Source organism: Homo sapiens, chromosome 17 (assembly GCF_000001405.40).
Source record: "Homo sapiens chromosome 17, GRCh38.p14 Primary Assembly".
NCBI classification, from domain to species: Eukaryota; Metazoa; Chordata; class Mammalia; order Primates; family Hominidae; genus Homo; species Homo sapiens.
The window spans coordinates 61,533,209-61,544,772 of NC_000017.11; positions in this window are offsets into that span (position 1 = coordinate 61,533,209).

Genomic DNA, 11,564 nt, shown 5'->3' on the forward strand with positions numbered 1-11,564 from the left:
TTGAGGCATCTATTCAATCTGGAGTTTACTATAGCCAAGGCCTAAACCATAAAAATGGAGTTGGTAATGAAAACACGGAGAACTTTAACTAGAGTCAGTGCCAGATTGCCATTCTGTCTCTTCCAGCACCTTCTACTTACGAGAAGTTACTGCCAAATGGAGCACTGGCAAGTTGCAGAGTGAGTCCCCCTTCCTATGGGCTGATGTGACTCTCACCCTAATGGGACGTGGTAGTGCCTGGGAGCTGCTGGTTGGTGCAGTTGTGCTGGGAAGATATGAAGCTAGAATTTCAGAGGCCCACTCTGCGGGTATCGCTTTGGCTCTATTCCATGTGTTATATTGAATGGTAGAAGCAGACATGTATTTTTCAATAGTCTGTATTCCATACAGAAGAAAGAATGGCCAGTGTTAGTCCAGTACTATATTTTGATTATGGGGAAGAAAAATTACAAGAAACTTAATTCAACAAGCATTCACTATGAATAATAATAACTATGATCTTTGAGGGCTTACAACTTAGCCTTCTGCCAAGGACTTTTCAGACATTGAATTGTGTAATCCTCTTAATATTCCTAAAGATATGACTACTATCCTTGTTTTATAAATGAGGAAACTGAGGCCCTGAGAGATTTAGTAATCTGATTCAGGTCACACTTTTCCTAAGTGGCAGATCTGGGACTTGAGTCCACATCTAGTCAAACAATAAAGCCCTTTTCAATACACTGTAACGCTTTTTTGGAGTTATCTTGTATGTGAACTACTAAAGATGCTGTGAAATCAAAACATTTGGGTATGTTAAAACGCATTATGTCTCCCTGAATGATGTACTATATAGTGGTAGGTACCAGAACTCCATTTTGTAGTGGGAATGCTAAAATATGAAAAGGTTATTTAGTGTAATATAGCACTTTAAGGAAGATCCGTTGTCTTGACCTGACCCTTTAGACTATACTGCCGTAAGAAAGTTATAAAACATTCAGTATCTGACTCCTCTTCTTCTACTACCATGTTTGATCTGACAGTAAAAGTTTACAAAACCCCCTTCGTCCCAGACAATGTTAAATAATGGAAGGGGAAAATTCCTATTTTTCCCCCAAAGTTATTCACAGATAAGTTGGCTAAAAATTCAAAAAATGTATGAGCTCTTTTTGGAATTAATTCATTGAAAAGAACCATTACAGTATCTATATCCCTTCCCATCTGGAATTTATTTTTTAAGACGCTCGTTGCTTCTCACAGGTTCAATGTTACCCATTTCACACCATTTAACTATTGAAAGCACTTGAAATTCCGGACCATAGGAGCAGAACCAGGGTCTTTCCTCGTGATGCAACTAATGTGTCAGACTTGTAAAATAGCTCTTAGTGGCGGGCCTCCATTTAGAGAAAGACGGAAACTAGCTTTAAATACTTAGAGCTTTAATATCTAGTCCATTACACTAAAGCAGGGTCTTGTAAAGAGTCAATTATGGGATACTTCTGATTTGATCCACATGCAAGGGAAATCCGCTTCTTTGCCTTTAAATCCCCGTTGTAAGTGTCTTGTTTAAATAATTAGTGACACTTTTTCTTTGATCAAATTGATTCATATTGTTATTCTTCTATGTTAATTTAAAACTTAATCCACATAAAACTCTAAAGCAGATTTTAATCTTGAATAAAGAAAGCTTTCTCCCAAAGAATGGAGTTTTCCAGAAAACATTTTAATTTTTAAAACATCATTAGTTGATTGAAAATAAATTTATTTTTCTGTAAGGAAATATGAGAGTCTATCACAAGCCAAAATCGTACTGTTATTTTTGGTATGTAGCGTGATGCTTTTCAGACACACACACAAAATATAAACTATATGCTTAATAGCATGACTAAGCAACTAAGCAACTGAGACCTCTAAAGACAATCAAATGTAATCTCAGTTTATGGTTTGGGGGCTAAAAAGTTTACATATATTTGAAACATTTGTCAAAGGGTTAATATCCCTCATTTAAACTTTATTTAGAATCTAAGAATTGATAAATAGAAATAAAAGCAAAATGCCAGGTTTTACTTATCAAATTCAAACTTTAAAAAATCATAATATCTAATATTGGTCAGGGCACTGGGAAACTGGCACTCTCATGCACTGCCAGTGGGTATTAGATACTAGTTCTCCGAAGGGCTTTTGGAAAGATATATCAAAAGCCTAGAAAATGCACATTACCTCTGATCCAGCAATAACAATTCCAGCAATTTAGGAGTCTAGTCTCAGGAAACAATCATAGTAAGAATTTAGTTATGGAGATATTTCAACACTGATTCTAACAGTGAAATATTGGGAAAAAACTAAAAGTACCTCAACAAGGGATTGGTTATATACACTGTACTTACACTCACAATTATATCCCTCGAACCTATTGAACAAATGAAATATCTATATCCCTTTTAAAAGGATGGTGTACACAAATATTCTGTTATGTATATTTGAAATACATGGTCAATGAGTTAATATCCCTAATTCAAACTTTACTCATAATCAAATGTGCTAGGGAAAATGGTCATAATATATAATACTTTTTTTTTTTTTTTTTTTTGAGACAGAGTCTTGCTCTGTCGCCCAGGCTGGAGTGCAGTGGCACAATCTCGGCTCACTGCAAGCTCAGCCTCCTGGGTTCACGCCATTCTCCTGCCTCAGCCTCCCGAGTAGCTGGGACTACAGGCACCCGCCACCATGCCCGGCTAATTTTTTGTATTTTTAGTAGAGACAGGGTTTCACTGTGTTAGCCGGGATGGTCTGGGTCTCCTGACCTCGTGATCTGCCCACCTCGGCCTCCCAAAGTACTGGGATTACAGGCATGAGCCACTGCGCCTGGCCTATTTTTATTTTTTTAAATTTTATTTATTTATTTATTTATTTATTTTTGAGATGGAGTCTTGCTTTGCCACCCAGGTAGTGGTGCGATCATGGCTCACTGCAACCTCTTCCTCCCAGGTTCAAGCGATTCTCCTGCCTCAGCCTCCCGAGTAGCTGGGATTACAGGTGCCCGCCACCATGCCCAGCTAATTTTTGCATTTTAAGTAGAGATGGGGTTTCACCATGTTGGCCAGGCTGGTCTTGAACTCATGACCTCAAGTGATCCACCCACCTCTGCCTCCCAAAGTGCTGGGATATTACACGCATGAGCCACCGCTCCTGGCCACTATTTTTATTTTTAAAATGCAAAGATGTGGAGAAAAATTGGTAGGCTATACAGATACTCCTCGATTTATGAACATCATAGCTTAGCCTTATCCTACCTTAAACATGCTCAGAACATTGACATTAGCCTATTGTTGGGCAAAATCATCTAATACAAAGCCTATGTTCTAATAAAGTGCTGAATATCTCATGCAATTTACTGAATACAGTACTGAAAGTGAAAGCTAGAGTGGGTGTGTTGGTTGTTCACTTTCCCTGCCGCTGCCCAGCATCACGAGAGAGTATCATACTACATATCCCTATCCTGGGGAGAGGTCCAAATTCAAAATTCGAACTATGGTTTCTACTGAATGGGTATTACTTTTGCACCATCGTAAAGGTGAAATATCAAAAGTCCAGCTGTTATAAGTCAGGGACCATCTGTACATCAAAATGCTAATAGTGGCTATTTCTGGGTTACAGGCTAATGTTTATTTTCATATTTTCATCTCTGAATTTTCTAAATTTTCTAAAATAAACATGTATTGCTTTCATAATAAGGGTATAATTTCAAACACTTGTGCAATTTTGAATTATTTATACAAGAAATATATTCCCCAAGTTTTAAAAAATATCTAAGTAGGGAGCATAAATATTGAAAGTACTTCCTTCCTATCTCTATTCCCAATTCCACACCCTTTCCAAGATGTGACTACTATTAATAGTTTGGTTTATCCTTTCTGATAATTTTTCTATATATCTTGTATATATACGTACACGTAAATATATTTCAATTTTGATTTTAAAATGTTGTTCATAAATAGGATTATATTCTGTGAATCCATAGAATCTTAGTCTACATAGTCAGCTCCATGAATATTTACATTATTTATCTTTTTTTTTGCTATTATAAACAATGCTGGAGTAAACATCTTCATATGTATGTCAGTGTATACAGGTGTAAGTATTTATCTAGGATAAAACCCAAGAAACTTAAGTAACAGGTTGATGAGAGTGGGCATTTCAAATTGCCTTTCAAAAAGTCTTTTAACATCCCCTGCCTGCATGGCACATTTATTATAATTGATGAGCCCACACTGACACATCATTACGCCTAGAGTCCATAGTTTACATTAGTGTTCACTCCTGGTATTGTGCGTTCTATGCATCTGGACAAACATAAGGACATGTATCCACCATTATAGTACCATACAGAGTAGTTTCCCTGCCCTCAAATTCCCCTGTTCTCTACCTATTTGTTCCCCCGTCCCCCTCAACTCCTGGCAACCACTTATCGATTTACTCTCTCCGTAGTTTTGCCTTTTCTGGAATGTCGTATGATTAAAATCAATACAAGCATACTTCTTTTAGTTACACTTCACCGATATTGCGTTTTTTAGAAATTGAAGGTTTGTGGCAACCCTGCATCATAAAAGTCTGTCGGCACCATTTTTCCAACAGCGTGTGCTCGCTTTGTGTCTCTGGGTCACATTTTGGTAATTCTCACAATATTTCTAACTTCCGCATTATTATTATATGATAATAATAGTTATGGTGATCTGTGATCAGTGTTCTTTGATGTTACTATTGTAATTGTTTTGGGGCACCAAAACCATGTCCATTTAATACAGCAAATTTAATCAATAAATGTTGTATGTGTTCTGATTGCTCCACTGACCAGCCATTCCCCTGTCTCTCTCCTTCTCCTCAGGCAAAGGAAAATTTTTGAAGATAATTAAAAGTGCTACTCCTGAAAATGCATGAATAATAAGAAAGTGGGAGGCTGAGGCGGGTGGATCGCCTGAGGTCAAGAGTTCGAGACCAGCCTGGCTTTTTTGGCCAACGTGGTGAAACCCCATGTCTACTAAAAATACAAAAATTAGCTGGGCATGGTGGTGGGGGCCTGTAATCCCAGCTACTCAAGAGGCTGAGGCAGGAGAATTGCTTGAACCAGGGAGGCGGAGGTTGCAGTGAGCCGAGATCACGCCACTGCACTCCACCCTGGGTGACAGAGTGAGACTCCGTCTCAAAAAAAAAAAAAAAAAAAAAAAATTAAAAGAAAAAAGCAAAGCACCCTTATTGCCGATATGGAGAAAGTTTTAACGGTCTGGACAGAAGATCAAACCAGCCACAACATTCCCTTAAGCCAAAGCCTAATCCAGAGCAAAGCCCTAATTCTCTTTTATGAAGGCTGAGGGAGGTGAAGAAGCTGCACAAGAAAAGTTTGAAGCTGTAAGAGGTTGGTTCATGAAGTTTGAAGAGAGAAGTCTCTGTAACATAAAAGTGCAAGTGAAGCAGCAAGGGCTGATGTAGAAGCTACAGCAAGTTATCTGGCAGTCTAGCTGAGATCATTGATGAAAGTGGCTACAGTAAACAACAGATTTTCAATGTAGACAAAACAGCCTTCTATCAGAAGAAGATGCCACCTAAGACTTTCATGGCTAGAGAGGAGAAGTCAATGCCTGCACTACAGCTTCACAGGCTGACTCTCTTGTTATGAGCTAATGTTGCTGGTGATTTTTTTTTCTTTTTTTTTTTCAGACGGAGTCTCGCTCTGTCGCCCTGGCTGGAGTGCAATGGCACAATTGGCTCACTGCAACCTCTGCCTCCGGGTTCAAGCCATTCTCCTGCTTCAGCCTCCTGAGTAGCTGGGATTACAGGTGCCCGCCACTATGCCTGGCTAATTTTTGTATTTTTAGTAGAGACAGGGTTTCATGATGTTAGTCAGGCTGGTCTCGAACTCCTGACCTCAGATGATCCACCCACCTCGGCCTCCCAAAGTGCTGGGATTACAGGCGTGAGCCACCGCGCCCTGCCCGCTGGTGATTTTAAATTGAGGCCAATGCTCATTTACCATTCTGGAAATCCTAGGGCCCTTAAGAACTGTGCTTAATCGACTCTGCCTGTGTACTACAGATGGAATAATAAAGCGCACATCTATTTACAACATTGTTTAGTGAATTTTTTTTTTTTTTTGAGACAGAATTTCGTTCTTGTTGCCCAGGCTGCAGTACAGTGGCACCATCTCGGCTCACTGCAACCTCCGCCTCCCGGGTTCAAGCAATTCTCCTGCCTCAGCCTCCCGAGCTGGGATTACAGGCATGTGCCACCACGCCTGGCTAATTTTGCATTTTTAGTAGGGATAGGGTTTCGCCATGTTGGCCAAGCTGGCCTCAAACTCCTGACCTCAGGTGATCCACCCGCCTTGGCCTCCCAAAGTGCTGGGATTACAGGCATGCGCCACTGTGCCTGGCAGAATTTTTTTTTTAAATAATTTCAACTTTTATTGTAGATTTGGGGGTACATACATGTGCAGGTTTGTTACATGGGTATATTGCATAACACAGGTTTGGGGTATGAATGATCCCATCACCCAGGTAGTGAGCATAGTACCCAATAGGTAGTTTTTCAGCCCTTTCGTCTCAACTCTCTCCCCCACCAGTAGTGTCCAGCGTCTATTGTTCCCATCTTTATATCCATGTGGACCCAGTGTTTAGCCCCCACTTATAAATGAGAACATGTGGTGGTATTTGGTTTTCTGTTCCTGCATTAATTCACTTAGGATAATAGCCTCCAACTCCATCCATGTTGATGTAAAGGACCTGATTTCATTCTTTTTTATGGCTGCATAGTATTCCATGATGTATATGTACCACATTTTCTTTATCCAGTCCACTGTTAATGGGCACCTAGACTGATTCCACATCTTTGCTATTGTGAATAGGCTGTGATGAAAATACAAGTGCATGTGTCTTTTTGGTAGAATGATTTATTTTCCTTTGGATATTTTCCTTTGCCCAGTAATGGGATTGCTGGGTTGAATCATAGTTCTGTTTTAAGTTCTTTGAGAAATCTCCAAGCTGCTTGCCACAGTGGTTGCACTAACTTACATTCCCACCAACAGTGTATAAATGTTCCCTTTTCTTTGTAGCCTTGCCAGCATTTGTTATTTTTGACTTTTTAATAATAGTCATTCTGACTGCTGTGAGATGGTATCTTATTGTGTTTTTGATTTGCATTTCCCTGATGATTAGTGATGTTGAGCCTTTTCTCATACGCTTGTTGGCTGCATGTATGTCTTCTTTTGAGAAGTGTCTGTCCTTTGCTCACTTGTTAATGGAGCTATTTGGTTTTTTGCTGGTTGAATTGTTTTAAGTTCCTTACATATTCTGGATATTAGACCTTTGTTGAAAGCATAGTTTGCAAATATTTTCTTCCATTCTGTAGGTTGTCTTCTTGCTCTGTTGATAGTTTATTTTGCTATGCAGGAGCTCTCTAGTTTAATTAGGTCCCACTTGTCAATTTTTGTTGTCATTGCTTTTGAGGACTTAGTCGTGAATTCTTTGGCAAGGCTGATGTCTAAAATGGTATTTCCTAGGTTTTCTTCTAGGATAGAGTTTGAGGTCTTACACTTATATCTTTAATCCATCTTGAGTTAATTTTTGTATATGGTAAAAGGTAGGGGTCTAGATTTATTCTTCTGCACATAGCTAGCCAGTTACCCCAGCACCATTTATTGACTAGGGAGTCCTTTCCCCATTGCTTATTTTTGACAGCTTTATCAAAGATATGATGGTTGTAGGTGTGTGACTATACACTGGGTTCTGTATTCTGATTCATTCATCTATGTGTCTATTTTTGCACCAGTACCATGCTGTTTTGGTTACTATAGTTTTACACTATAGTTTGAAGACAGGTAATGTGATGCTTTTAGCTTTGTTCTTTTTGCTTAGGATAGCAAAAAGTGTTGGTTATTCAGTTTCTTTTTTAGTTCCACGTGAAGTTTAGAATAGTTTTTTTCTAATTCTCTGAAAAATGACATAAGTAGTTTAATAGGAATAGAGTTGAATCTGTGGATTGCTTTGGGCAGTATGGCCATTTTAACAATATTGATTCTTCTAATCCATGAGCATAAAATGTTTTTCTGTTTGTTTGTGTCATCTTTGATTTCTTTCAGCAGTGTTTTGTAGTTCTTCTTGTAGAAATCTTTCATCTCCTTGGTTTTATGTATTCCTGGGTGTGTGTGTGTGTGTGTGTGTGTGCGCATGTGTGTGTGTGTCTATTGTAAATGGGATTGCATTCTTGATTTGGCTCTAAGCTTGACTATTGTTGGTGTATAGAAATGCTGCTCATTTTTATACATGGCTTATTGAATGTTTTAAGCCCACAGTTGAGACCTACTGCTCATTAAAAAAATTCCTTTCAAAATATTACTGCTCATTGACAATTAACCTAGTCATCAAGAACTCTGATAGAGATGTACAAGGAGATTGTTGTTATTTTTATGCCTCCTAAAACAACATCCATTCTATACTTCATGGATCAAGGAATAATTTCAACTTTCAAGTCATTTTTTAAGAAGTAAATTTTGTAAGTCTAGGGCTGCTATAGATAGTGATTTCTGTGATGGATCTGAGCACAGTACATTGAAAACTTTCGGGAAAGGACCCACCCTTCTAGATGCAATCACATTTGTGGTTCATGGGAGGAAATAAAAATATCAATATTAACAGGAGTTTGGAAGAAGTTGATTTCAACCCTCACTGGATGACTTGCTGAAGTCTTGGATAATTATTAGCATTTTTAGCATTAAAGTTTTTTGGGTTTTTTTTTTCTGAGACAGAGTCTTGCTCTGTCACCCAGGCTGGAGTGCAGTGGCTTGATCTCAGCTCACTGCAACCTCTGCCTCCTGGGCTCAAGCAATTCTCACGTCTCAGCCTCCCGAGTGGCTGGGACCACGGATAATTTTTGTAGAGACAGGGTTTCGCCATGTTGGACAGGCTGGTCTCAAACTCCTGGCCTCAAATGATCTGCCCACCTCCGTCTCCTAAACTGCTGGGATTATAAGCGCAAGCCACTGCACCTGGCCAGCAAAAAAATATTTTTAATTAAGGTGTGTACATTGTTTTTTAGACATAGTGCTATTGCACACGTAAGAGACTACAGTACAGTGCAAATGTAACTTTTATATGCATTAAGAAACCAAAACATTTGTGTGACCCACTTTATTGTGATATTTGTTTTATTGCGGTAGTCTGGAACTAAACCCACAATCTCTCTGGGGTATGTCTATAGTATGCAGCCTTTACAGACTAGGTTTTCTCCCTTAGTAATATGCATCTAAGTTTCTTCCATGTCTGTTCATGGCTTAATAGCTTACTTATTTTTAGCACTGAATAATATTTTATTGTATGGATGTACCAGTTTGTTTATTCACCTACTGAAGGACATTTTGATTTTCCAAGTTTGGGCACTTTGAATAAAATTGCCATAAATATCTGTGTGTAGGTTTTTGTGTGAACATAAATTTTCAACTAATTTAGGTAAATACCAAGGAGCAATTGCTGGATTGCATGGTAAGCATTTGCTTAATTTTGTAAGAAACTGCCAAAGTGTCTCCCAAAGTGGCTATACCATTTTGCATTTCCACTAGCAATGAATGAGAATTCCTATTGCTTCATCCTTGTCAGTACTTGGTGCTGTCTGTGTTCTGGGCTTTGTCCATTCTAATAATTGCAGTGGTATCTCATTGCTGTTTTAATTTGCATTTCCCCAATTACATATTATGTGGAGCGTCTCTTCATATGCTCATTTTCCATCTGCATATCTACTTTGGGGAGGTGTCTGTTAAGGTCTTTGGTTCTTTTTTAAAAATTTAGCCAGGTGCAGTGGCTCATGCTTGTAATCCCAGCAATTTGGGAGGACAAGGCAGGCAGATCACCTGAGGTCAGGAGTTCAAGACCAGCCTGGCCAACATGGTGAAATCTCGTATCTACTAAAGATACAAAAATTAGCTGGGCATGATGGTGGGTGCCTGTAATCTCAGCTACTTGGGAGGTTGAGGCAGGAGAATCGCTTGAACCCGGAAGGCAGAGGTTGTAGTGAGCCAAGATCACACCATTGTACTCCATCCTGGGCGACAAGAGTGAGACTCTGTCTCAAAGAAAAAAAAAACTAGTTGCTTTTCTTATTTTTGAGCTTTAAGAGTTCTTCAGTTCTTCGTATAGGTTAGAAAACAGTACTTTATCAGATACGTCTTGTGCAACTATTTTCTCACAGTCTGTGGCTTGCCTTTTTTTTTTTTTTTTTTTTTTACAGTGTCCTTCACAGAATAATCTAACTTTAATGAAGTCCAGCTTATCAGTTCTTTCTCTCATGGACCATGCTTTTGGTGTATTTATTTATTTATGAGACGGAGTCTTGCTCTGTCCCCCAGGCTGGAGTGCAGGGGCGAGATCTCGGCTCACTGCAAGCTCCACCTCCGGGGTTCTCGCCATTATCCTGGCTCAGCCTCTGGAGTAGATGGGACTACAGGCGCCCGCCACCACGCCCAGCTAATTTTTTGTATTTTTAGTAGAGACGGGGTTTCACCGTGTTAGCCAGGATGGTCTGGATCTCCTGACCTCGTGATCCACCCGTCTCGGCCTCCCAGAGTGCTGGGATTACAGGCGTGAGCCACTGCGCCCGGCTTATTTATTTATTTATCGAGACAGGGTCTCACTCTGACGCCAAAGCTGGAGTTCAGTGGCATGATCTCAGCTCACTGCAACCTGCGCCTCCCAGGTTCAAGCGATCCTCCTGCCTCAGCCTTCTGAGTAGCTGGGACTACAGGCATGTGCCACCACACTTGGCTAATTGCTTTTGTATTTTTTGTAGACACGGGGTTTTACTATGTTCCTCAGGCTGGTCTCAAACTCTCAAACTCCTGGGCTCAAGCAATCAATCCTCCTACCTCAGACTCATGCAGTGGTGTCATATTTAAAATCTTTGCCAAATCAAAGGTCATCGAATTTTCCCCTATATTATCTTCTAGGAGTTTTATAGTTTTGTGTTTTACATTTAGGTCTGTGATAAAGTTTGAGTTAATTTTTGTGAAGAGTGAAAGGCCTATATCTAAATGTATTTTTCTGCATGTCCAGTTGTACCAGGACCATTTGTTGAAAAGACTGTCTTTTCTCCACTGTATTGTCTTTGTTCCTTTGTCAAAGATCAGTTGAGTATATTTATGTGGGTCTATTTCTAGGCTCTCTATTCTGTTCCATTGATCTGTTTGTCTTTTCTTTCACCAAATACTATCACTACCATGTCTTGATTACTATAGCTTTGTAGTAAGTCTTGAAATTGCACGGTGGAAGTCCTCTAACTTTGCTCTTCTTCAATATTGTGTTTGCTATTCTGGGTCTTTTGCCTGTCCATATAAACTTTAGAATCAGTTTGTAGAAATCCACAAAATAACTTGCTGGGATTTTGATTGGAATTGCATTGAATCTATAGGTCATGAGGGAAGAACTGACTTCTTGACAATATTGATCTTCCTATCCATAAACATGGAATCTCTCTCCATTTATTTAGTTATTTGATTTCTTTCATTGGAGTTTTGGAAATCATGTAAATATTTTGTTAAATTTATA